This window comes from Homo sapiens, chromosome 19 (assembly GCF_000001405.40).
Source record: "Homo sapiens chromosome 19, GRCh38.p14 Primary Assembly".
Classification (NCBI taxonomy): domain Eukaryota; kingdom Metazoa; phylum Chordata; class Mammalia; order Primates; family Hominidae; genus Homo; species Homo sapiens.
Genome location: NC_000019.10, coordinates 47348140 through 47370706, shown reverse-complemented (window position 1 = coordinate 47370706; position 22567 = coordinate 47348140). Strand labels below are relative to the sequence as shown.

Genomic DNA, 22567 nt, shown 5'->3' with positions numbered 1-22567 from the left:
AAACTCCATCTCTAAATAAATAAATAAATAAATAAAACAAAAATGAACCATCTTCTTAGCCTGGGCAGCCCTCCAAGTCCAGCGGATCCAGCCTCCTGCCCACACTGAAGCCCTGCTGTGCTGCAAGGATGGGGGCTTTAATGGTGTTAACACACATACATGGGTGGTCCTGCCATGGTGGGCCTCAGGCTGCTGGAAATAGAAAGTCTTGAGTCAGGAGAATCAGGCAAGATGAACAAGCCTCAGTCAGTGAGCTCCCCGGGAGGGGTGAGCATGACTCAGGAATGAGGGAGAGGAAGAGTTTTGACATCCTTGAGCCCGCAAGAGAGGGGTGCGGGGCAGAGCTGGGGACACGCTGTGCAGAGGAGAGAGGTGGGAGGGGTCTGAGCTGTGGAAAAGCCAAGACTTCTTTCTGCGTTTGGGGGATCTTGGGTACTCCACCTGCCTGTGCCTCCCAAGGGAGGCCCTGTCATGACCCCAAGTGCTGGGGAATCCAAGCGAGAGAGCCTGTCTTTCCTGTCACTCACGCACAACCAGGGCACTTTGCGTCACATTCTCTGAAACAGCCTTGCAAGCCAGACACCACAGGCCACACCCAGCCTCTGGTGGTGGCATCTGCAGCGTCAGGTGAGTGCCTGAGACACTGACGGTGCACACAAGAACGACAGGGTCAGAGGGTCTGCTGGCCCCAAATCCCTCAAGATTAACGCCCTATTCCTGATGACACAGCGTGGGGACGAGGAGCACCACATCTGCTTGTGACTGGCTACTGAAGACCTGAGATCAGGAGGGCTGGGAACTGAAAATGGTCTCCGTCGACCTCTGTGGACCCGCCCTTTCCAGATCCTCACAGAACCGCCAGGTCAACTGATCAATTTTCTGGCCACCTTCAGCCACTTAGGACCCAGTTCCACTTAAACACTTCCCATTTAATTCAAAGCTCCTCACCTGACCCAGGGCCAGAGGGACAGCTGTCCCCTCCCCTCCTTCAGGCCTCTGCCCAGATGTCACTGTTAATTGGCCTCCCAGGACAGCCAATTAACACTGCTCCCAGCCCCCACTGTGCCCACCGTGCCCTGCATCCACCTGAGCAGCAATCAGCGGCTGACATTCCGTGTTTTCACTCATTTATCTGCCCCTGTCCATCTCCCCTGTTACATGTGAGCTCCGTGAGGGCAGGAGTTTTGTTTTATTCACTGTTGTATCTCTGGCATCTAGACTAGGACCTGGCACAGAGCAGGTGCTCAAAAATTATTTAATGAATGGGCCAGGAGCTGTGGCTCACACCTGTAATCCCAGCAGTTTGAAAGGCCGAAGTGGGCAGATCACTTAAAGTCAGGAGTTCAAGACCAGCACGGCCGACATGGTGAAACCTTGACACTACTAAAAAAACAAATATTGGCCGGGCGCAGTGGCTCATGCCTGTAATCCCAGCACTTTGGGAGGCAGGCAGAACACTTGAGGTCAGTAGTTTGAGATCAGCCTGACCAACATGGTGAAACTCCTTCTCTACTGAAAAAACAAATACTGGCCGGGCACGGTGGCTCAAGTCTGCAATCCCAGCACTTTGGGAGGCTGAGGTGGGCAGATCACTTGAGGTCAGGACTTCGAGACCAGCCTGGCCAACATGATGAAACCCCGTCTCTACTAAAAATACAAAAATTAGCCAGGCGTGGTGGCGTGAGCCTGTAATTTTAGCTACTCATGAAGCTGAGGCAGGAGAATTGCTTGAACACAGGAGGTGGCAGTTAGCTGAGATCACACCACTGCACTCCAGCCTAGGCAACAGAGCAAAAACACTGTCTCAAAACAAAACAAAACAAAAATTAGCCAGGTATGATGGCGGGCACCTACAGTCTCAGCTACTCAGGAGGCTGAGGCAGGAGAATTGCTTGAATCCAGGAGGCAGAAGTTCCAATGAGCTGGGATTGCACCACTGCACTTCAGCCTGGGCAACAGAGCGAGACTCCATCTCAAAAAGAAAAAAAAACATATATATATGTGTGTGTATATATATGTGTGTATGTATATATATGTGTGTGTATGTGTGTGTGTGTGTGTGTGTGTATATATATACACACACACACACACACATTCAATGGACCGGGAGCAGTGGCTCAAGCCTGTAATCACAGCACTTTGGGAGGTCAAGGCGGGCAGATCACCTGAGGTCGGGAGTTCAAGACCAGCCTGACCAACATAGAGAAACCCCAGCTCTACTAAAAATACAAAATTAGCCGGGCATGGTGGCGCATGCCTGTAATCCCAGCTACTCGGGAGGCTGAGGCAGGAGAATCGCTTGAACTCAAGAGGTGGAGGTTGTGGTGAGCCGAGATGGCACCATTGCACTCCAGCCTGGGCAACAAGAGCGAAACTCAGTCTCAAAAAAAAAAAAAAAAAAAAAAAAAGGATTTAATGAATGAATGATGAGACTGTTGGTTACATCTCCCACCTTCTCCCTCTCACTCCACTGCAGCCACACGGGGCTCCTCACTGTTCCTGTAGCAGCAGGCATGTGCCCCCACAGGGCCTCTGTACTGGCTGTTCCCACTGCCCGAACACCCTCATGCACCATCTGCACTGTCCAATACGGCCGCCTCTGGCCACACATGGCTACTGAGCAGTTGAACATGGCTGGTCCAAACCAAGATTTCCAAGACGTCGTATGGTAAAAAATAACATAAAATCTTGCAAAAATGTTTCTATTGATTATGTTAAAATTGTGATGTTTTAGGTATATTAGGTTGAATCAGCTATTTTATCAAAATGAATCTCACCTGTTTGTTTTTGCTTTTTTTTTTTTTTTTTTTTGAGATGGAGTCTCGCTCTGTCGCCCAGGCTAGAGTACAATGGCATGGTCTCGGCTCACTGCATCACTGCAACCTCTACCTCCCAGGTTCAAGCGATTCTCCTACCTCACCCTCCCAAGTGGCTGGGATTACAGGCGTGTGCCACCACACCCAGCTAATTTTTGTATTTTTAGTAGAGACAGGGTTTCACCATGTTGGCCAGGCTGGTCTCGAACTGCTGACCTCGTGATCTACCTGCCTCAGCCTCCCAAAGTGCTGGGATTACAGGTGTGGGCCACTGTGCCGGCCATGTTTCTCGACTTCTGCTGGCAAGCATGTTCTAGTATTTGCATGGCTCCTAGCCCTCATCTCCATTTCTCTGCACAGATGTTACCTTCCCCATGAGGTCTGCCTTATACATGAGGCCTGTATTACAAACTGCAACTCCCCATTCCCCAACCCCGTTGTTTCTTCTCTCCAGAACACTAGGCACCATCTGATCTACTATGCCTTTTCCTTATTGTCCTAATGTATTGCTGGTCTTCTTCACCAAAATGTCAGCTCCCTGAGGCCAGAGATTTGTGTCTGTTCTGTCCACTGCTATATGCCCAGCACCTAGAACAGTGCCTGGCCCAGTGAAGAGTGAATAAATGAACTGGACCCAGGGAAGAAACAGACTTGCCCCCAGGCCACTCAGAGAGTGAGCTGTGCCCATACCCGCTCCTGGGGCCCTGAGTGATCAGGAGGGGGGTGGGTACTCACCAATCACAACGTCCACAGGCAGCTGGGCTAGCAGGGACCCAATGGGTGTGAGGGCCTCTGAGCTGTCCAGGGCCCCCTGGTCCCGGAGGTAGAGGATGGCGGTTTCCAGGCTGGCTGGTGGTGGGGGCTCGATGAAGGGGAAGGTTCGGGGGTCCCCCACACTCATGCTCTTCATCTAGAATGAGAAGCAAAACCCCCAAGATTGGGGAACACAAGAGCCACTGTGCAGCACAGCGGGGCTCAGAGATCACAAATTCATGACGTTTTAAAATTCCTAGTGTTGGCCGGGCGTTGTGGCTCATGCCTGTAATCCCAGCACTTTGAAAGGCCAAGGCAAGCGGATCACTTGAGGTCAGGAGTTCAAGACCATCCTGGCCAACATGGTGAAACCCCGTCTCTACTAAAAATACAAAAATTAGTGGTGGTGCATGACTGTAATCCCAGCTACTCGGGAGGCTGAGGCAGGAGAATCGCTTGAACCCAGGAGGTGGAGATCGCAGTAAGCCGAGATCGCGCCTCTGCACTGCACTCCAGCCTGGCAATACACCGAGACTCCATCTCAAATTCCCAGTGTCAGCCAGGCACAGTGGCTCATGCCTGTAATCCTAGCACTTTGGGAGGCCACAGCAGGTGGATCACTTGAGGTCAGGAGTTTGAGACCAGACTGGCCAACATGGTGAAACCCCATCTCTACTAAAAATACAAAAATTAGCCAGGTGTGGTGGCGAGTGCCTGTAATCTCAACTACTTGGGAGGCTGAGGCAGGAGAATTGCTTGAACCTGGAAGGCGGAGGTTGCAGTGAGCCGAGATTGCACCACTGCACTCCAGCCTGGGCCACAGAGTGAGATTCTATCTCAAAAATAAAATAAAATAAAATAAAATAAAATTCCCAATGTCAAGATCCACTGTGCAGAGGCAGGCAAGGAGGGCTGCTGTCTCTGTATCTGTCTGCCTAGCACATCTTGCCCCAGACCATGGAGGAGAGGCACGTGACCTGAGCTGGACCAATCAGAATCCTTCCATGAGACTGGAGCCAGGAAGAGCATTCCCAGCATCCTCTCTGGTTGTGGCCAGGATGGAAGGCTATCTTATTAACCCAGAACTGCTGTGACCTTTGACTTTGTCCATTTTTTGGAAATGGGCCCACCTACAGCAGATGGAGAAATTCTTGGATTGTTCCTAAGTTAGACATGCCGCCTCATGAATGCACAAAATGGTAAGATCCCCCTTTCTGCCTACAATAGTTTCAGTTGTATTTCTCTCACTTACAACCAAAAGAATCCCAATTAATGCAGCAGTCCAGGCAGGCAGTAGATGGTGGGAGAATTAAGTGACAGCATATGTCCACCCCGGGGTCTGGCGTGGCATACGTAAGCAAACAGCACCTCTCTGGTGACTGGAAGAAGGAGAGGCTGGCAAGGCAGCTCATGTGACAGCCAGAGAGCGAGAAGGAAGCTCAGAGAAGTCTGTTTGCCTGGCTTTGATCCGAGGGCACTAGAAGTTCTGGCGTCCACCTGCAAGCAGCTGCTGCTCCTTCCTCCCTGCTGACCAAGCCTTGATGCCGTCTATGAGTTCACCCAATACTCATTTAAAAACCTTTATAGGCCGGGCGCGGTGGCTCATGCCTGTAATCCCAACACTTTGGGAGGCTAAGGCAGGCAGATCACCTGAGGTCAGAAGTTCAAGACCAGCCTGATCAACATGGTGAAACTCCCTCTCTACTAAAATTACAAAAATTAGCTGGGCCTGGTGGCACCCATCTGTGGTCCCAGCTACTCGGGAGGCCAAGGCAGGAGAACCACTTGAGCCTGGGAGGTGGAGGTTGCAGTGAGCCGAGATAACACCACTGCACTCCAGCCTGGGCGACAGAGTGAGACTCTGTCCCAAAAATAAATAAATAAATAAATAAATAAATAAATAAATAACCTTTACATTAGAAGCTCAATTTAAAGAGGCAGGGGGCAGGGCCTGGGGTTTTTTTAAATTCTCCAGGTGTTTCTAGTATGCAGCTGGGGCTGAGACACTGCTCTGATCAACTCAGGCAATGCCACAACCCTAGACAATTGCGGGGCATAGGGTGAACACATATGACCCGGTTCTGCTGACAAGAGAGGATGAGAGACTGGCCAGAGGAGTCTAGAAAATGTTCCTGTGGCCTTAAAAATTAGACCCACAGAGAAGGGCAGTTCCTTGCTTCTGCCTCCGGATGGTAAAGGAGGAGGAGGTGACGCCCACTGTGCCTGGAGCCAGCGGCCACTCACGAAGCAGGCTCTGACGCCTGGTGGCCTCGGATGGAGCCCTGACTCTACTACTTGCCAGCTGTGTGACCTGGGGCAATATTTTCTCTCTCTCTGCATCCTTCTTCTGGTCCAAAAATTAGGGTAAGACTACCTACCCCATGGACTTTGTTTTTTTATGAGACAGGGTCTTGCTCTATCACTCAGGCTGGAGTGCAGTGATGCAATCAAGGCTCACTGCAGCCTCGAACTCCTGGGCTCTAGCGATCCTCCTGCCTCAGCCTCCTGCGTGGGACCACAGGTGTGTGCCATCACACTGGGCTAATTTTTAAATTTTTTCTAGAGTCAGGGCCTCACCGTGTTGCCTAGGCTGGTCTCGACTTCCTGGCCTCAAGCAATCCTCCTGCCTCAGCCTCCCAAAGTGCTGGGATAACAGGCATGAGTCACTCATTGTGCCCGGCAGCACTAGTATTTTTTTTTTTAAAAGATGAAATCAAACAGAATAGAAAATAGTGTGCACCTCCTGCAGGAAGGCCACTGGTTTGTGCTACACCCGCACGTGAGCCTGTGGCAGACACCATCAGCTGCTCCCAACTTTCCTTTTCCTTTTGTTCCTGAGCACAAGGACTACACTTCCCAGCCTCCTTCACGGTTGGGCGTGGCCACGAGACTGAGGACTGACCAGGAGTGGTGAGTGCAAGGCAAGTGCACCATTTGCAGGCTCGACCCGCAAACCCTCCTGTACTCACTTCCCATGCCCTTGACCCTTTGGCTGGCTGGACACATATGCAGGAAAAGCCCCTGGGGAGATTATAGAGCCACAAGAGTGAAGGACCCTGGGTCCCTGAATAAAGAAAATTGCCTGCCAACCTGTAAACCACCATTCCGCTGTTGGCCATTCGTGACCATGTGTATTTGTCATGGCAGTCTAACCTATGCTAAATTAACAAATGAGATACAAATCATGACATAAAATGTATTGAGAAACCCTGGTTTTAAAAGCCCTTTCCTGCTAGGTTTCCTGTTACAGCTGAAAGCATTCTGATTGAGTCACTGGTTCTTCCTTTGACCCTATGGACATTTTTTTTTTTTTTTTTTTTGAGATGGAGTCTTGTTCTATCGCCCAGGCTGGAGTGCAGTGGTGTGATCTCGGCTCACCGCAACCTCCACCTCCTGGGTTCAAGCAATTCTCCTGCCTCAGCCTCCCAAATAGCCGGGCTTACAGGTGCACACCACCACACCCGGCTAATTTTTTGTATTTTTAATAGAGACTGGTTTCACCATGTTGGTCATGCTGGTCTCAAACTCCTGGTATCAAGTGATCCACCTGCCTTGGCCTCCCAAAGTGCTGGGATTACAGGTGTGAGCCACCATGCCCAGCTGACCCTATGGATTTAAGGAACAATTCTCCCCTCAACAAGGGTTTTGACATTTGGAAGGGATGGGTTCCCCTCAGTGGCTTGGCTAGCCCTATCCTTCCTGACCCTGACACTCTGGGGTTGGGTCCTATGTAAATGCTTCCTGGCTGGCTGGGCACAATGGCTCATGGCTGTAATCCCAGTACTTTGGAAGGCCAAGGTGGGAAGATCACTTGAGCTCAGGAGTTTGAGACCAGCCTGGGCAACATAGCAAGACCTGATCTCTACTAAAAATAAAAAAAGTTAGGCCGGGCGCGGTGGCTCATGCCTGTAATCCCAGCACTTTGGGAGGCCGAGGAGGGTGGATTACAAGGTCAGGAAATCAAGACCATCCTGGCTAACATGGTGTAACCCCATCTCTACTAAAAAAAAATACAAAAAATTAACTGGGCTTGGTGGTGCACACCTGTAGTCCCAGCTACTAGGAAGGCTGAGGCAGGAGAATCACTTAAACCTGGGAGGCGGAGGTTTCAGTGAGCCGAGATCGCACCACTGCACTCCAGCATGGGCGACAGAGGGAGACTCCGTCTCAAAAATAAATAAATAAATAAAAATTTAAAAGTTAGCCAAGCGTGGTGGTGTGTGCCTGTGGTCCCAGCTACTTGGCAGGTGGAGGTAGGAGGATCATTTGAGCCTGTAATATGGAGGCTGCAGTGAGCCATGATCACAGCACTGCACTCTAGCCTGAGTGACAGAGCAAGACGCTATCTCAAAATAAAATAAAATAAAATAAAATAAAAAAGGCCTCCCAGGTTCCTCCCTGTGCCAGCAGTTAGGATATAGTCCCCTTTCTGCCCATGCCTCACCTGCAGCACCAACGAGTCCAGGGCCACCCTCCGAATTTCTGGGACGGGGTAGGGGGCGAAGGCATCATAGTCCGATTCGGCATAGAGGCGGAAGCAGACTCCGGGGCCCGTGCGGCCCGCCCGGCCCTTCCGCTGCTCTGCGCTGGCCTGACTAATCCAGAACTCCTGCAGCCGTTGCAGCTTGGCCTGCGGATCGTAGCTCATCTCCTTCACCTTTCCTGGATGGGAGCAATGAGGAAAGGGAGTCTGTGTGTGGCAGCCACGTGCAGCTGGCCACGCGCCTGGCTCTTGTCACTCGCCAACACCCTCACTTACTCCTTTATTCTGTTAATGCTAACTGAGGGCTTATTCTGGGCCCAACTCTGACATTTTGTTCATTTATTCTTTCATTTCCTCACACATCTTTTTTTTTTTTTTTTTTTTTTTGAGACAGGGTCTCACTGTCTCCCAGGCTGGAGTGCAGTGGCTCAGTCAGAGCTCACTGCAGTCTCAACCTCCCAGGCTCAAGCGATGATCCTACTAGCTCAGCCTCCCGAGTAGCTGGGACTAAAGGTGCACACCAACACACCCGGCTAATTTTTTGCAGTGACGGGGTTTCACAGGCTGATCTCAAACTCCTGGGCTCAAGCAATCTGCCTGCCTCAGGCTCCCAAAGTGATGGGGTTACAAGCGTGGGCCACTGCACCCAGCCTTTCACTCACACATCTTTTCATTTATTTTCCCAAGTCTTTGTTTCTTCAGAGGTTCACTTATCCAATAAATACTTATTAAGCACCTACTATATACCAGGCACTGCACTAGGCACTAGGGGAACAGCAGTGAGCTAAACAAAGGTCCTAGTCTCACAGGACTGAACAGAGCACCATATTTCCTCCAGTGTCAGAACAACCTTTTTTTACATTTTCTTTCTTTTCTTTTTTTGAGATGGAGTTTCACTCTTATTGCCCAGGCTGGAGTGCAATGGCACAATCTCGGCTCACTCTGCCTCCTGAGTTCAAGCGATTCTCCTGCCTCAGCCTCCTGAGTAGCTGGGATTACAGGAACCCGCCACCATGCCCGGGTCATTTTTGTATTTTTAGTAGAGATGGGGTTTCACCATGTTGGCCAGGCTGGTCTTGAACTCCTGACTTCAGGTGATCCACCTGCCTCAGCCTCCCAAAGTGCTGGGATTACAGGCATGAGCCACAGCACCTGGCAGACATTATTTTTTTAATTTCTCTCTCTCTCTTTTTTTTTTAAACAGGGTCTCGCTCTGTTGCCCAGGCTTGAGTGCAGTGGCACAATCACAGGTCACTGCAGCCTCGATTTCCTGGGCTCAGGTGATTCTCCCACTTCAGCCTCCTGAGCAGCTGGGACTACAAGCACGCACTACCATGCCTGGCTAATTTTTGTATTTTTAGTAGGGGCGGAGTTTCACCATGTTGTCCAGGCTGGTCTCAAACTCCTAACTTCAAGTGACCTGCCTGCCTTGGCCTCCCAAAGTGCTGGTATTACATGTGTGAGCCACCGCGCCCAGCCGGGACGGCCTGCCATTGTCATTTTTCAGATGAGCCAACCGATACATGAAGTGTCAGTCACATGACCCCAGCCACACAGCCAGCACTAAACCTGGCCAGGCAGGCTCCAGTGTCTCCAAACACTATGCTATGCTGACTTCCCAGAGAACATTCCAGTCAGGAAGACAGAAAGTGAGCAAACAGAGCAGCACATAAAATAGAATGTCGGGCTGGGCGTGGTGGCTCATGCCCGTAATCCCAGCACTTTGGGAGGCTGAGGCAGGCAGCACTTGAGGTCAGGAGTTCGAGACCAGCCTGGCCAACATGGTGAAACCCCATCTCTCCTAAACATACAAAAATTAGCCGGGCGTGGTGATGCATGTCTGTAATCCCAGCTACTTGGGAGGCTGAAGCAGGAGAATCACTTGAACCCGGGAGGCGGAGCTTGCACCATTGCACTCCAGTCTGGCAACAGAGCAAGACTCCGTCTCAAAACAACAACAACAACAACAACAACAACAACAACAAACAGAATGTCAATCCCCCTCATATGACAAGCAACAGCGGATGGAGGAGGGGATATCTCTTAGACAGAGTGGACAGTATGGGCCTCTCTGACGGGTGGACATTTATGCGGGCCCTGAAATGAGGTGAGGGCGTCACCTGTGTGGATACCTGGAGAAAGACAGCTCTCGGCAGAGAGAACAGTACAAAGGCCCCAGGGCAGAAGCAGGCTTGGAAGGTGTGAGAAAAACTAAGATGTTGCCATTGGTCCATGGCCCCACACATCGTCTTCCAGCATCCCAATTCTGGAAATCCAAAGTCTGAAATGCTCGAAAATCTGAAATGTTTTCAGCACTAACGTGACCCTCCAATGAAATGCTCACTGGAGGATTTCAGATTTCTGGATTTGACATACTCAAATAATAAAATTGATACAAATATTCCAAATTCAAAAAAACCCGAAATTCCAAACACTTCTGGTTGCAAGCAAGCATTTTGGATATGGGAAAGTCAACTGTACTTCCCAATCCAAGCTGGTGCGCCCCTGCCACACACGCACACCTCCGGACCCCATGCTCCTAAGTCCTTGGGGGTGGTGGGTAGGGGCTCATGGTGGTCCTTACCGGAATCTACTACGAAGCGGATCCCGTCAATGGTGACTGAGGTCTCAGCAATGTTGGTGGAGAGGATGCATTTCCGGACTCCAGGGGGTGCCACATCAAATACCTGGGAGGAAGGGAGGGGGTGGTGTCAGGAACTAACTCAGCCCCGACTAACCTATGTGTCCAATTTCTTGCCCACCCCCGTGTCAGCAGCTTCCCTGGAACCCTTTCCTCCTTCAGAGACCTCCCTTTTGGAGATGGCTCACCGTCCACCCCATCACCTGGGCCATCCTGGGCCCTCCCCCACCCTCAGACGGAGTCTTGCTCTGTCGCCCAGGCTGGAGTGCAGTGGCGTGATCTCGGCTCACTGCAACCTCTGCCTCCCGGGTTCAAGCAATTATCTTGCCTCAGCCTCCCGAGCAGCTGGGATTACAGGTGCCCGCCACCATGCCCGGCTAATTTTTGTATTTTAAGTAGAGACGGGGTCTCACCATGTCGGCCAGGCTGGTCTTGAACTCTTGACCTCAGGTGATCCGCCTGCCTTGGCCTCCCAATGTGCTGGGATTACAGGCATGAGCCACCACACCTGCTCCCCCGACCTGAACATCTTGAACTTTTTTTTTTTTTTTTGAGACAGGATCCCACTCTGTGGCCTACAATGGAGTGCAGTGGCGTGATCACAGCTCACTGCAGCCCTGACCTCCTGAGCTCATGCGATCCTCCTGCATCAGCCTCCCAAGTAGCTGGGATTATAGGCACATGCCACCATGCCCAGCTAGTTTTCTTCCGTTTTGTAGAGACAAGGTCTCACTGTGTTGCCTAGGATGGTCTCTAACTCCTGAGCTCGAGTGATCCTCCTGTCTCAGCTTCCTGTGCTGGGATTATAGGCATGAGCCAATGTACCAGGCCATCTGGAACTTTTCTTGAAATCCTTCCCTCCTCCGACAGCCCAGCCCCTGCCCTGGTCCAGGCCTCTCCTCGCCCACTCTGATCCTACTCCAGCTTCCCCTCAGATCTCTGGCCTGTAGACTCACATGGCAGCCAGAGGGATCTGCTGAAGCATAAACTGGCACTGCCCCCACTAGGGGAGGATCGCTTGAGCTCAGGAGTTTGAAACCAGCCTGCGCAACACAGTGAGACCTCTTTGCTACTAAAATTCAAAAAAAAATTAACGGAGGCCGGACACAGTGGCTCACACCTGTAACCCCAGCACTTTGGGAGGCTGAGGCAGGCAGATCACTTGAGGTCAGGAGTTCGAGACCAGCCTGGCCAACATGGCGAAACCCCGTCTCTACTCAATATACAAAAGATTAGCCGGACGTGGTGGCGGGTGCCTGTAGTCCCAGCTACTCAGGAGGCTGAGGCAGGAGAATCGCTTGAACCCGGGAGGTGGAGATTGCAGTAAGCCACGATCATGCCACTGCACTCCAGCCTGGACGACAGAGTGAGACTCTGTCCCAAAAAGAAAAAAAAATTAATGGAGTTTAGTGACACACACCTATAGTTGCTACTTGGGAGACTAAGGAGAGAGGATCACTTGAGCCCAAGAAGTCAAGGCTGCAGTGAGCCCTGATCGTGCCACTGCACTCCAGCCTGGACAACAGAGCAAGACCCTGTTTCAAAAAAAAAAAAAAACTGTTTTGGAACACAGCCTCACCCACTCAGTTTATGGCTGCTTTCATGCTGCAACAGTGGGGCTGAGTAGCTGTGACAGACAGAGAGCCCATGGTCGATAGGACTGACATCATCTACTCCGACCCTTTATAGAAAGTTTGCCGACCTCTGGTTTAGAGCATGGGCTCCGGGGCCAGACTACCTGGGTTCGCAGCCTGGCTCTGCCACTAGGTGGCTACGACTTTGCACAAGTACAGCCCCCGAGCCCTGTGTTTGTGGAGTTACACAAGTCCTGTGCGCAGCCACCCCTGACTCATGCAGACCCCCCGCCTGCCCCACTCGGGCTTCCTGTGATACCTTGTCCTGGTCGGCCACAGACAGGGCGCTGTGCAGTGGCAGTACCACCCAGCGCTGGGTGTGGCTGGCATAGGTCTGGGCAGCCTCCAGCACGGCGCTGATCTCCGCCATGCCGCTGAGGAAGACGAGGAGGTCACCCCGCTCCTCAGGCGGGTACTTGTGGTCAATGGACTCCAGCACCCTCAGGAAAGGCCGCGGGTCCAGCTTCTCTGACTTGGACGTGGTCGGCTCCGCCTCCTGCGGCTGGTACACAACCTGAGAGGAGACAGCCCCAGGTAGAAGCACACCCTGTCCCTCCAGCTCAGAGCAATGGGCTGGGGAGGCTGCAGGCTGACGGGGGAGACCACAGGCTAACGGAGAAGACACAGTGCAACGGGTCCAGGCTGGTGGGCAACTCTGTTCCATGTGGTCATTCAGGGATCCAGGCTTCTCCTTTCTCATTATGCCACCATCTCATTGGGCAGGATTTCTCAAAGTCAGCAAGATTGACATTTCAGTCTGGATAATTCCTTGTCGTGGGGGCTGTCCTGTGCATCGTAGGATATCTAGCAGCATCCCTGGCCCTACCCACTAGATGCTAGTAGTCTTCTCCACTGCTTGTGACTATTAAAAATGTCTCCAGACATTGCCATATGTTCCCTCTGGGGCAAAACCACCCCTAATTGAGAAACAGTCAGGTGACAGACAGCACACTCCAGCTAGATAATTTCTGAAGGATGTAATAAAAAGACAAAGTAACAAAGCAACTGCAAGGCTTGTGGGGTGCTGGCAATGTTTGACTTTTCTAAACCTGGGTGCTAGCTACACAGATGTATGTAACTGGTGAAAACTAATTAAGCTATATACTTACAATGCATGCATTATCTTATGTTTAGAGTAGCTTCAACAAGAAAAATATTCTAGGTGATGAAACCAGGATTAAAAACCTAGAAATCAGGTTGGTTGGCTGACCAGGAGAGGACCCTGAGCCTGAGCCAGGTTGGTTGGCTGATTTCCCAGCATAGTTGGCTCACACCTGTAATCCTAGCTCTTTGGGAGGCCAAGGCGGGAGGATTGCTTGAGCTCAGGTATGCGTGACCAGGCAGACAACATAGCAACACGTCGTCTCTACTAAAAAAAACAAAAAACAAAAAACAAAAACCCTAGAAAACATTTCTCAGGAAGCAGCCTCATTCTTTTTGAGACAGGGTCTCGCTCTGTCACCCAGTGGCATGATCTCGGCTCACTGCAGCCTCCACCTCCCAGGTTCAAGCAATTCTCCCACCTCAGCCTCCTGAGTAACTGGGATAACAGGGGCGCACCACCACTCGAGCTAATTTTTGCATTTTTAGTAGAGACGGGGTTTTACCTTGTTGGCCAGGCTGGTCTCGAACTCCTGACCTTAGGTGATCCACCCGCCTCGGCCTCCTAAAGTGCTGGGATTATAGGCATGAGCCACCACACTCGGCTCGCACTCTCTCTCTCTCTTTCTTTTCTTTCTTTTTTTTTTTTTTGAGATGGGATCTTGCTCTGTTCCCAGGGTGGAGTGCAGTGGAGCCATCTTGGCTCACTGCAACCTCGACCTCCGGGTTCAAGCAATTCTCCTGCCTCAGCCTTCCAAGTAGCTGGGATTACAGGCGTGCGTCACCATGCCCAGCTAATTTTTGTATTTTTAGTGGAGATGGGATTTCACCATGTTGGCCAGGATGGTCTTGGGCTCCTGACCTCGTGATCTTTCTGCCTTAGCCTCCCAAAGTGCTGGGATTACAGGCACCAGCCACCGTGCCCGACCCATTCTTTCTTTTTTTATGGCTGCTTAGAAGGCAAATTGATGGGCATCCGGAACCAGAAATCACAAGAGACAATGAAGTTCTTCCTGTAAGTCTTGACTATACAGACAAGGATAACTCACTAGGACAGTGTTTCTCAATTAGGGGTGGTTTTGCCCCAGAGGGAACATATGGCAATGTCTGGAGACATTTTTAATAGTCACAACCAGAGGAGAAGACTACTAGCATCTAGTGGGTAGGGCCAGGGATGCTGCTAGATATCCTACAATGCACAGGACAGCCCCCACGACAAGGAATTATCCAGACTGAAATGTCAATCTTGCTGACTTTGAGAAATCCTGCCCAGTGAGATGGCAGAGTAATGACAAAGGAGGAGCCCGGATCCCTGAATGACCACATGGAACAGAGTTGCCCAACAGCCTGGACCAGCCACACTGTTATATGAGAGAAATAAACTTCTCTTATTTGAGACTTTACATTTTTGGGTCTTTTTTTTTTTTGAGACAAAGTCTCACTCTGTCACCTAGGCTGGAGTGCAGTGGCGCGATCTCGGCTCACTGCAAGCTCCGCCTCCCAGGTTCACGCCACTCTCCTGCCTCAGCCTCCCGAGTAGCTGGGACTACAGGCACCCACCACCATGCCTGGGTAATTTTGTTTTTGTGTTTTTAGTAGAGATGGGGTTTCACCATGTTAGCCAGGATGGTCTCAATCTCCTGACCTCGTGATCCACCCACCTCGGCCTCCCAAAGTGCTGGGATTACAGGCATGAGCCACGGCGCCCAGCCATTTTTGGGTCTTCTTGTAACAGCTTTTACTCTAACAAGCACTTAGCACTCTAACCAGCTGATTATGAATGCTCAGAAAATGGTAGCTTTAAAAAAAGAGAACATCTTTAAATGAAAGAGATGGGAGATACAGCAGCAGAGAGAAGAGGCATGTCCAGGTTTGGACAGAGACCAGGTTGGAGGTCTGGGGATGTGGGAGGAGGGGGAAGTACTCACCGTGATGGGGAACAGCCTCCCAGGCACCTGTACCACAGGGGCATTGCTGAAATAGCTGGAGAAGAGCGAGATGTTGATGGTGGCCGACATGAGGATGACCTTGAGGTCAGGCCGCGTGGGCAACAGGCGCTGGAGGACGCCCAGGAGGAAATCGTTGTGGAGATGCCGCTCATGGACTTCATCCACAATCAGGACCTCATACTGGGGCAGGCTGGGTTCCCGCTGGATTTGTCGCAGGAGCAGCCCCACTGTCAGGAATACAATCTTGGTGGCCGCCGAACGTGTGCTCTCAAAGCGGATCTGGTAGCCGACCTGGGGTGGGAGAAAGAAAGGATCAGGAGAGGACCCTGAGCCTGGGTACCAGCCCCTGGCCCTGCCCAAATTGAAAATCTAAGCAGGCCGGGTGCGGTGGCTCACGCCTGTAATCCCAGCACTTTGGGAGGCAGAGGCGGGCGGATCACCTGAGGTAGGGAGTTCGAGATCCGCCTGACTAACATAGAGAAACCCCATCTCTACTAAAAATACAAACAAAATTAGCCGGGCGTGGTGGCGCATGCCTGTAATCCCAGCTACTTGGGAGGCTGAGGCAGGAGAATCACCTAAACCCGGGAGGCGGAGGTTGCAGTGAGCCAAGATCGCACCATTGCACTCCAGCCTGGGCAACAAGAGTGAAACTCCATCTCAAAAAAAAGAAAAAGCAAAAAGAAAATCTAAGCAAATACCATGCCTACCCATCAGACTCTGGAGTCCAACAGCTTGGGTTTGAATCTCACCTCTGCCACTTAGTGCCAACTGACCTTGGGCAGGCAATGCCATCCCTTATAGTTCTCCTCCTAGATGCTGTGAGAATTCCATGTGACAATGCACAGAAAGTATCTAGCACTGTGCCTCATGTATATATAATATTAACTATATAGCAATAACCTTTTCTTGAGTCCCTGCTATGTGCCAGGACATTATATGCCACTCTAAGTGCTTTATGTATATCAACCCATTTCATCCTCATGACCACCATGAGACAGAAGGACTATTATTGGCCTTCCAAGATGGCAGTTTGCATTGCAGTGATCGTCAAGAATTACCCTCGCAGCCCAACGTGGTGGCTCACACCTGTAATCCCAAAACTTTGGGAGGCCGAAGTGGGTGGATCACCTGAGGTCAGGAGTTTGAGCCCAGCCTGACCAACATGGTGAAACCCCGTCTCTACTAAAATTACAAAAATTAGCTGGGCATGGTGGCGGGTGCCTGTAATCCCAGCTACTCAGGAGGCTGAGGCAGGAGAATTGCTTGAACCCGGGAGGCAGAGGTTGCAGTCAGCCAAGATCGCACCAATGCACTCCAGCCTGGGCCACAGAGTGAGACTCCGTCTCAAAAAAAAAGTGATGAGCCTTTAGGACATTTCCCATTGTTTTGCTGTTAAAGTGCTACACTGGTTAATGCTAGCTCCTTTGTCATGTAGACCACAGACAAGCCACTCTGTGGATAAAGTTCTAGAAGAATCATCGCTGGGTCCAAGGGTAAGTGCTTCATTTTTATTGATACTGCCATATGGACAAGCAACCTATTCCCCCAAGGTCACGCTGGAAAAATCGGAAACCTGGTGCGTCCCACTCACCTGTGAGCCATACTGACTGAGGCTCTCAAAGCCCACACGCTTGGCCAGTGAGATGCAGGCGATCCGCCGGGGCTGGGTGCACGCCACATGACTGAAGCCAGCAGCCAGCAGGTACTGGGGCACCTGAGTGGACTTGCCACAGCCGGTGTCACCGGCCACTACCACCACCTGGTGCTCCTTCAGCGTCTGCAGGATGCGGTTCCCATACTGGGCGATGGGGAGGGCTGCCCGCTCACGCTGCAGCTTGGCCAGACGCCCAAATGCCTGCTTCTGGCCAAAGTCCAGGTAGTGCAACAGGGCTCGGCGGAACTCAGCCACTCTCTCCGCGGGCAAGTGCCTGCCCAGTCCCTGAGAGCCCCGCGTGGCAGGGCCAAGAACAGAGAGGTTGATGCGGTAACGTGGGTCGTAAGTGCGAGGTAGGTCGGCCAGCGCTGGGATGCTGTGCTTGGGCTGTCCAGGGTCTTTCTCCTCCTTCCTGGAGGTCTTGAGATTCTGGAATCTCTGCAGGCGTTCAAAGAAGGTCCAAAACTTCTGACATTCCTCAGAACCCTGACGGATGTAATCCTCTTCACGGAAGAAGGCATCTTCCAAGAGGCGACGCGTCTCTGGACAATTCCAGTCCCATTTCTCCAAGGCCTCTTCCTCGCTGGGAGCCCGGTGGTGGTCTCGGCGATCCCTGCCCTCCCTTGTTCTAGGAGGAGGCATGTTACTAATCCACAATAGGAGTCTCAGTTCTGATCACCCAAAACAAATATTCTCATCCATTCCCCACCTGCAACAATTTAAGAGGCCAGTGCCTGCAATAGAGAACTACTTTCTCTTCAAAGAGCTAATTTTTCCTCCTGGTCACGGCACAGGACCACCACAGATGATAAAGTGGCCAGAGGCCTGCTTGAGCTGGTGACACAAAGGGTACCTCATGACATCTGCAGTGATCTCTGGGATGGACACAAGTTCATTCTGGGTTTTCAGGCCCTGGATTCTTAAGAGAGAGAACAGAAGACATTAATTCTCTTTTGGGAACATTGCTTTTTTTGGTTTTGTTTTGTTTTTTTCTTTTTGAGGCAGGGTCTCACTCTGTTTCCCAGGCTGGAGTGCAGTGCCGTAATCATGGCTCACCACAGCCTCGACCTCCTGGACTCAAGCGATCCTCCCGCCTCAGCCTCCCGAGCAGCTGGGACTACAGGCACATGCCACCACACCCAGCTAATTTTTTACTGTTTGTAGAGATGAGATCTCACTATGTTGCCCAGGTTGATATCAAACTTCTGGGCTCAAGCAATTCCCCCACCTTAGCCTCCCAAAGTGTTGGGATTACCAGTGTGAGCCACCATGCCCAGCCCATTTTTAGAAACATTTCTAACAGCCTGTTTCTTAAGCACTGAACTAGAAAAAGGAGGTAATGAATATGACTACCAGAGTCCTCACAGACGGCCATGATCACATGATCTCTCATGTGACACACACGTCATCAGACTGTGACAATCCAGTGATGGGGACTGTGATAACAGAATCCTAGGGAGCTGTGGGACACCAAAGGAGGTTCCTCCTCCTTCCCATGCTTGGGAATCAGGGAAGGATCCTGGGAGGAGGGGATGTTTCACCTGAGACCTAAAGGAGAGATGTAGGTCACATGGCCAACCAACAGCAGAACCTTGTCTCCACAGGCAGTAATAGGAGAGAGGTGTGATATAATGAAAAGAATAAGGCAAGGGTTCTTCACCCGGGGTCCAGTGAGATTCAGAACATTGAGATAAAAGGCAAAATTTTGCAAGTGTTATATGTAATTTTTGCCTGCCTGGCACAACCCTTTACTTCTTTTCTGAGGACAGTATCCACCTTCCTTTGGACAACAGCCCTTCCTCGATTCTACATGGTTCTGAGGGCCTTTAAGACAAAGAACCCCTATTGGGTAGGCAAGTAACAAAGACCTGGCCAGTCTTAGTAGTCTACTCCCCCTCTAACCAAGGATTGGCCTGAGAAGCGGACACATGATCCAAGAAGGGCCAATCAGGGCCCTTTTGTGGAATTTACACTCGGTTGCTAGGACAGAAAAGCTCTCATTTTATCCATCATAATCAGGCAAGTTTGATATAAGCCTGGAGCTCTTTGTGGTAGCTCTGGAACATGACAGAGTCTTTCCTAAAATCTATCCTAGAGAAATAACTAGATACAGGCACAAGAATGGTCACTGCACCACAGGGAGAGGTGAAAGAGGGAGAGGAAGAGAAGCTTGGCAACATCATTTAGGTCTTGAAGCTTAGTTCCCTTCAACCCCCCACTTCTCAGCTACACCAGAAAATGCCTTTTTGCTTACAGTTGGAGTCTTTTTTGTTTTGAGATGGAGTCTTGCTCTGTCACCCAGGCTGGAGAAAAAAAATTAGCCAGGTGTGGTGGCGGGCACCTGGCTACTCGGGTAGTCCCAGCGACTCGGGAGGCTGAGGCAGGAGAATCACTCGAACCCTGGAGGCAGAGCTTGCAGGAAGCCAAGACTGAGCCACTGCACTCCAGCCTGGGCAACAGAGCGAGACTCTGTCTCAAAAAAAAAAAAAAAAAAAAAAAAAGAAAAAGAAAATGAGAGCATTCTTCTGAGGCTAGAAACTGCTTATGCATGCTGGGCCCCACTGACAGCATCCCGCTCCTCTCAAGGTATCTATCTTTTTTGGCTTCTAGATTGTCTGCATCTTCTAGTTTCTGTATAACTGTGTCTCTGACCATCTTTTGGTCTCTTGGCCTATTTGCCCTGGGCTCATGGCCTTCAGTGGGTTTGTTTCCCCCTCTGTCCCCTCCATCTCTCTCCACTCCATCTTCAGGCCTCTGTCTCTTTTTCAGTCCGTCTTGTTCATCATCACCCTCATCTCTCTTCCCTGTCCTAGTCAGCTCGCATCTCTCTTCACTTATGAGTCATTCTGTAGTCTGATTTTTCTCTGTAATCCAACTCTTCCTTTCTCCATCTCTCTTCAGTTCTCCATTTGACTTTCTCCATCTTTCTCATTAAAAAAAAAATGCTTTTTCAGGCCGGGCATGGTGGCTCACGCCTATAATCCCAGCACTTTGGGAGGCTGAGGCAGGCAGATCACCTGAGGTCGGGAGTGCGAGACCAGCCTGACGAACATGGAAAAATCCCGTCTCTACTAAAAATACAAAATTAGCCAGGGTGGTGGCACCTGCCTGTAATCCCAGCTACTCTGGAGGCTGAGGCAGGAGACTCGCTTGAACCCAGGAGGCAGAGGTTGCAGTGAGCCAAGATCGCACCACTGCACTCCAGCCTGGGCAACAAGAGCGAAACTCCATCTCAAAAAAAAAAAAAAAAAATTCATTTTTGTTTTTTTGAAACAGGGTCTCACTCTGTCACCCAGCCTGAAGTGCAGTGGCACAATCACGGCGTACAGCAGCCTCGACCTCCCAAGCTCAAGTGATCCTCCCACCGCAGCCTCCCAAAGTGCTGTGGATGACAGGAGTGAGTCACCACGCCCTTTCTCATTTTCTGTTTGAATCTTTTTTTCCTCCCTTTTGTCCTTCCAGTATTCACTCTCCATCACCACCTCTCTCCATTTCCCCATCTAATACTTTATCTCCCAATATCAGAAGCTTTAGTAATAGCTCATGCTTACTTACTCACATTAACACACAGACCTATCCTATCTGCATGATCTATTCCTATCCCACACCTATGTACATACACACACACACTTTTCTCACGACTGTCAGGCACTATGATCACCCCCTATTTTACTGAGCAATAGAGAGGCTAAGTGAGTAGCCGAGTGTTACATGAGCCACTCAAATCCAGGGGTTCGGGCTCCACTCCCTCGCTTTTCCATTTCTCAGCATCGTTCTCCATTATCTCCAGCTTTTGTGGGGTTCTTCCTATTTCAACTGTCTCCATCCTTCCGTATCTCTCGGTCTCCCCCGTGATTCAGTGTCTCGTTTCTCCATCTAAATTCCATTTTTTCTGTTTCTAGTGTCCACGATCAGTTTCCGACTTTTCCCTCCACTCCCCAAGTTCATGGGCGACCACGCCTCTCGGCCTCGTGGGCTCTAAGACTCTCGCTGGAACCCATCGGCACTCTCGCCCACGCTCTCTAGTTTTCAGCTTCCCTCCTCTCCCAACACCCTCGTCTTTCAGTCCCTCAGTTTCTCGAAGCTTCTTTTCGTGCCTCCATTTCTTTCGGTCTCTGGCCTGTCGCCCAGGTTCTCCCAGGGACGCTCAGGTGCCATCTCTGTCCGCGTTTGCCGGCCCTTCGGCTGCCTCCTACATTTCTCCTCATCTCGAGACTTCCCTCGCCCCTGGACTCGCACCCCAAACTACCCCCAAGCGGCCCAACTCCGACAGCCATCGCCGCCACAACCCGGTACACCCGTCCCGCCCCCCTCACTTACCACACGCCGCGAACGCCTTAACTTCCGGTCCCAAGAGCGCTAGTCTTGCGCCTGCGCACACAGCCATCTCGTTCTGACCCCGCCCCGCCACCACAGAAGAGCCAATCGGAAGCTCTGGGCTGCCCAAGACCCATCTTGCGCCTGTGCACAGCACGCTTCCGCCCCGCCTCGCTTGGGGCGGAGCCTCGAGTGATTGCGCCCTCTAGAGGCCAGTAGAGGCATTGCGGTACAGACTTGCAAGCGCCTCCTCCCCGGCCCCGCCCTCTCCTCCCCAAGCATAGCCACGTGCGCCTCAGCTCCGGGACGCCGGGGTTTTAACCCAAAGAGAGAGCTGGTCTGGGGCCCAGGAACTTTTTTTTTTCTTTTGAGACATAGTCTCACTGTCTCCCAGGCTAGAGTGCAGTGGCGTTATCTCACCTCATTGCAATCTCCGCCTCCCAAGTTCAAACCATTCTCCTGCCTCAGCCTCTCGAGTAGCTGGGATTACAGGCGCACACCACTACACCTGGCTGATTTTTGTATTTTTAGTAGAGACGAGGTTTCACGATTTGGGCCAGGCTGGTCTCCAGCTCCTGATCTCAAGTGATCCGCCCGCCTTGGCCTCCCAAAGCACTGAGATTACAGATGTGGGGCATCTCACTCAGCCTCTACCTCTTTTCTTTCTACAACCCCATTTTCTGTTACCTTTCTCTGCAATAAACTCAATCACACACATTCAGGAAGACCCCCAAGTATAGAAACAATCTCATTAGCCAGCAATGCACCCTCTCTTTTATTAACTGAAAGAAGAAACAGCTGGGCACGGCGGCTCACGCCTGTAATCCCAACAGTTTGAGAGGCCGGGGTAGGTGGATCACCTGAGGTCAGGCGTTCCACACCAGCCTGGGCAATATGGCCAACCCCTGTTTCTACAAAAAAATACAAAAGTTAGTCGGATATGGTAGTGTGTGCCTGTAGTCCCAGCTACTCAAGAGGCTGAGGTGGGAGGATCGATTGAACCTAGGAGGCTGAGAGACTGAGGCTGCAGTGAGCCATGATGGTACCACCGCACTCCAGCCTGGGTGACAGAGCCAGACTGTCTCAAAAAAAGAAAAAAGTGTTGTTGTTTTTTTTTTCTGAGACGGAGTCTCGCTGTCGCCCAGGTTGGAGTGCGGTGGCGCGATCTCGGCCCACTGCAGGCTCCGCCTCCCAGGTTCCCGCCATTCTCCTGCCT

General features: G+C 51.2%; 1 protein-coding gene across 8 annotated transcripts in view, besides 2 other annotated features; it reads right to left on the bottom strand.

Moving 5' to 3' along the window:
- DHX34 (DExH-box helicase 34) overlaps window positions 1-21392 on the bottom strand; it is a 33390-nt gene extending 11998 nt beyond the window's left edge. For 2 of the 8 annotated variants that reach the window (NM_014681.6, XM_047439761.1), the window contains exons 1-7: window positions 21355-21392; window positions 16972-17953; window positions 15357-15668; window positions 12587-12841; window positions 10637-10739; window positions 8014-8231; window positions 3552-3726 (exon numbers count right to left, since the gene is read on the bottom strand). In NM_014681.6, coding sequence (NP_055496.2) covers window positions 3552-3726; window positions 8014-8231; window positions 10637-10739; window positions 12587-12841; window positions 15357-15668; window positions 16972-17676 — 1768 coding nt within the window. In that variant the 5' untranslated portion in view covers window positions 17677-17953; window positions 21355-21392. Of the gene's footprint in view, window positions 1-3551; window positions 3727-8013; window positions 8232-10636; window positions 10740-12586; window positions 12842-15356; window positions 15669-16971 lie in introns of those variants that run through there. The other 6 variants (XM_047439760.1, XM_011527550.3, XM_011527551.3 and 3 more) reach the window with 6 other exon arrangements.
- Window positions 15146-15645: an enhancer, noted in NCBI's record as "H3K4me1 hESC enhancer chr19:47858319-47858818 (GRCh37/hg19 assembly coordinates)". NCBI's record gives its function as "activates a minimal SCP1, AML or CMV promoter by ChIP-STARR-seq in primed H9 embryonic stem cells {active_cell/tissue: H9 hESC(primed)}" and the evidence as "EXISTENCE:reporter gene assay evidence [ECO:0000049][PMID:30033119]".
- Window positions 20648-21552: an enhancer, noted in NCBI's record as "H3K27ac-H3K4me1 hESC enhancer chr19:47852412-47853316 (GRCh37/hg19 assembly coordinates)". NCBI's record gives its function as "activates a minimal SCP1, AML or CMV promoter by ChIP-STARR-seq in primed H9 embryonic stem cells {active_cell/tissue: H9 hESC(primed)}" and the evidence as "EXISTENCE:reporter gene assay evidence [ECO:0000049][PMID:30033119]".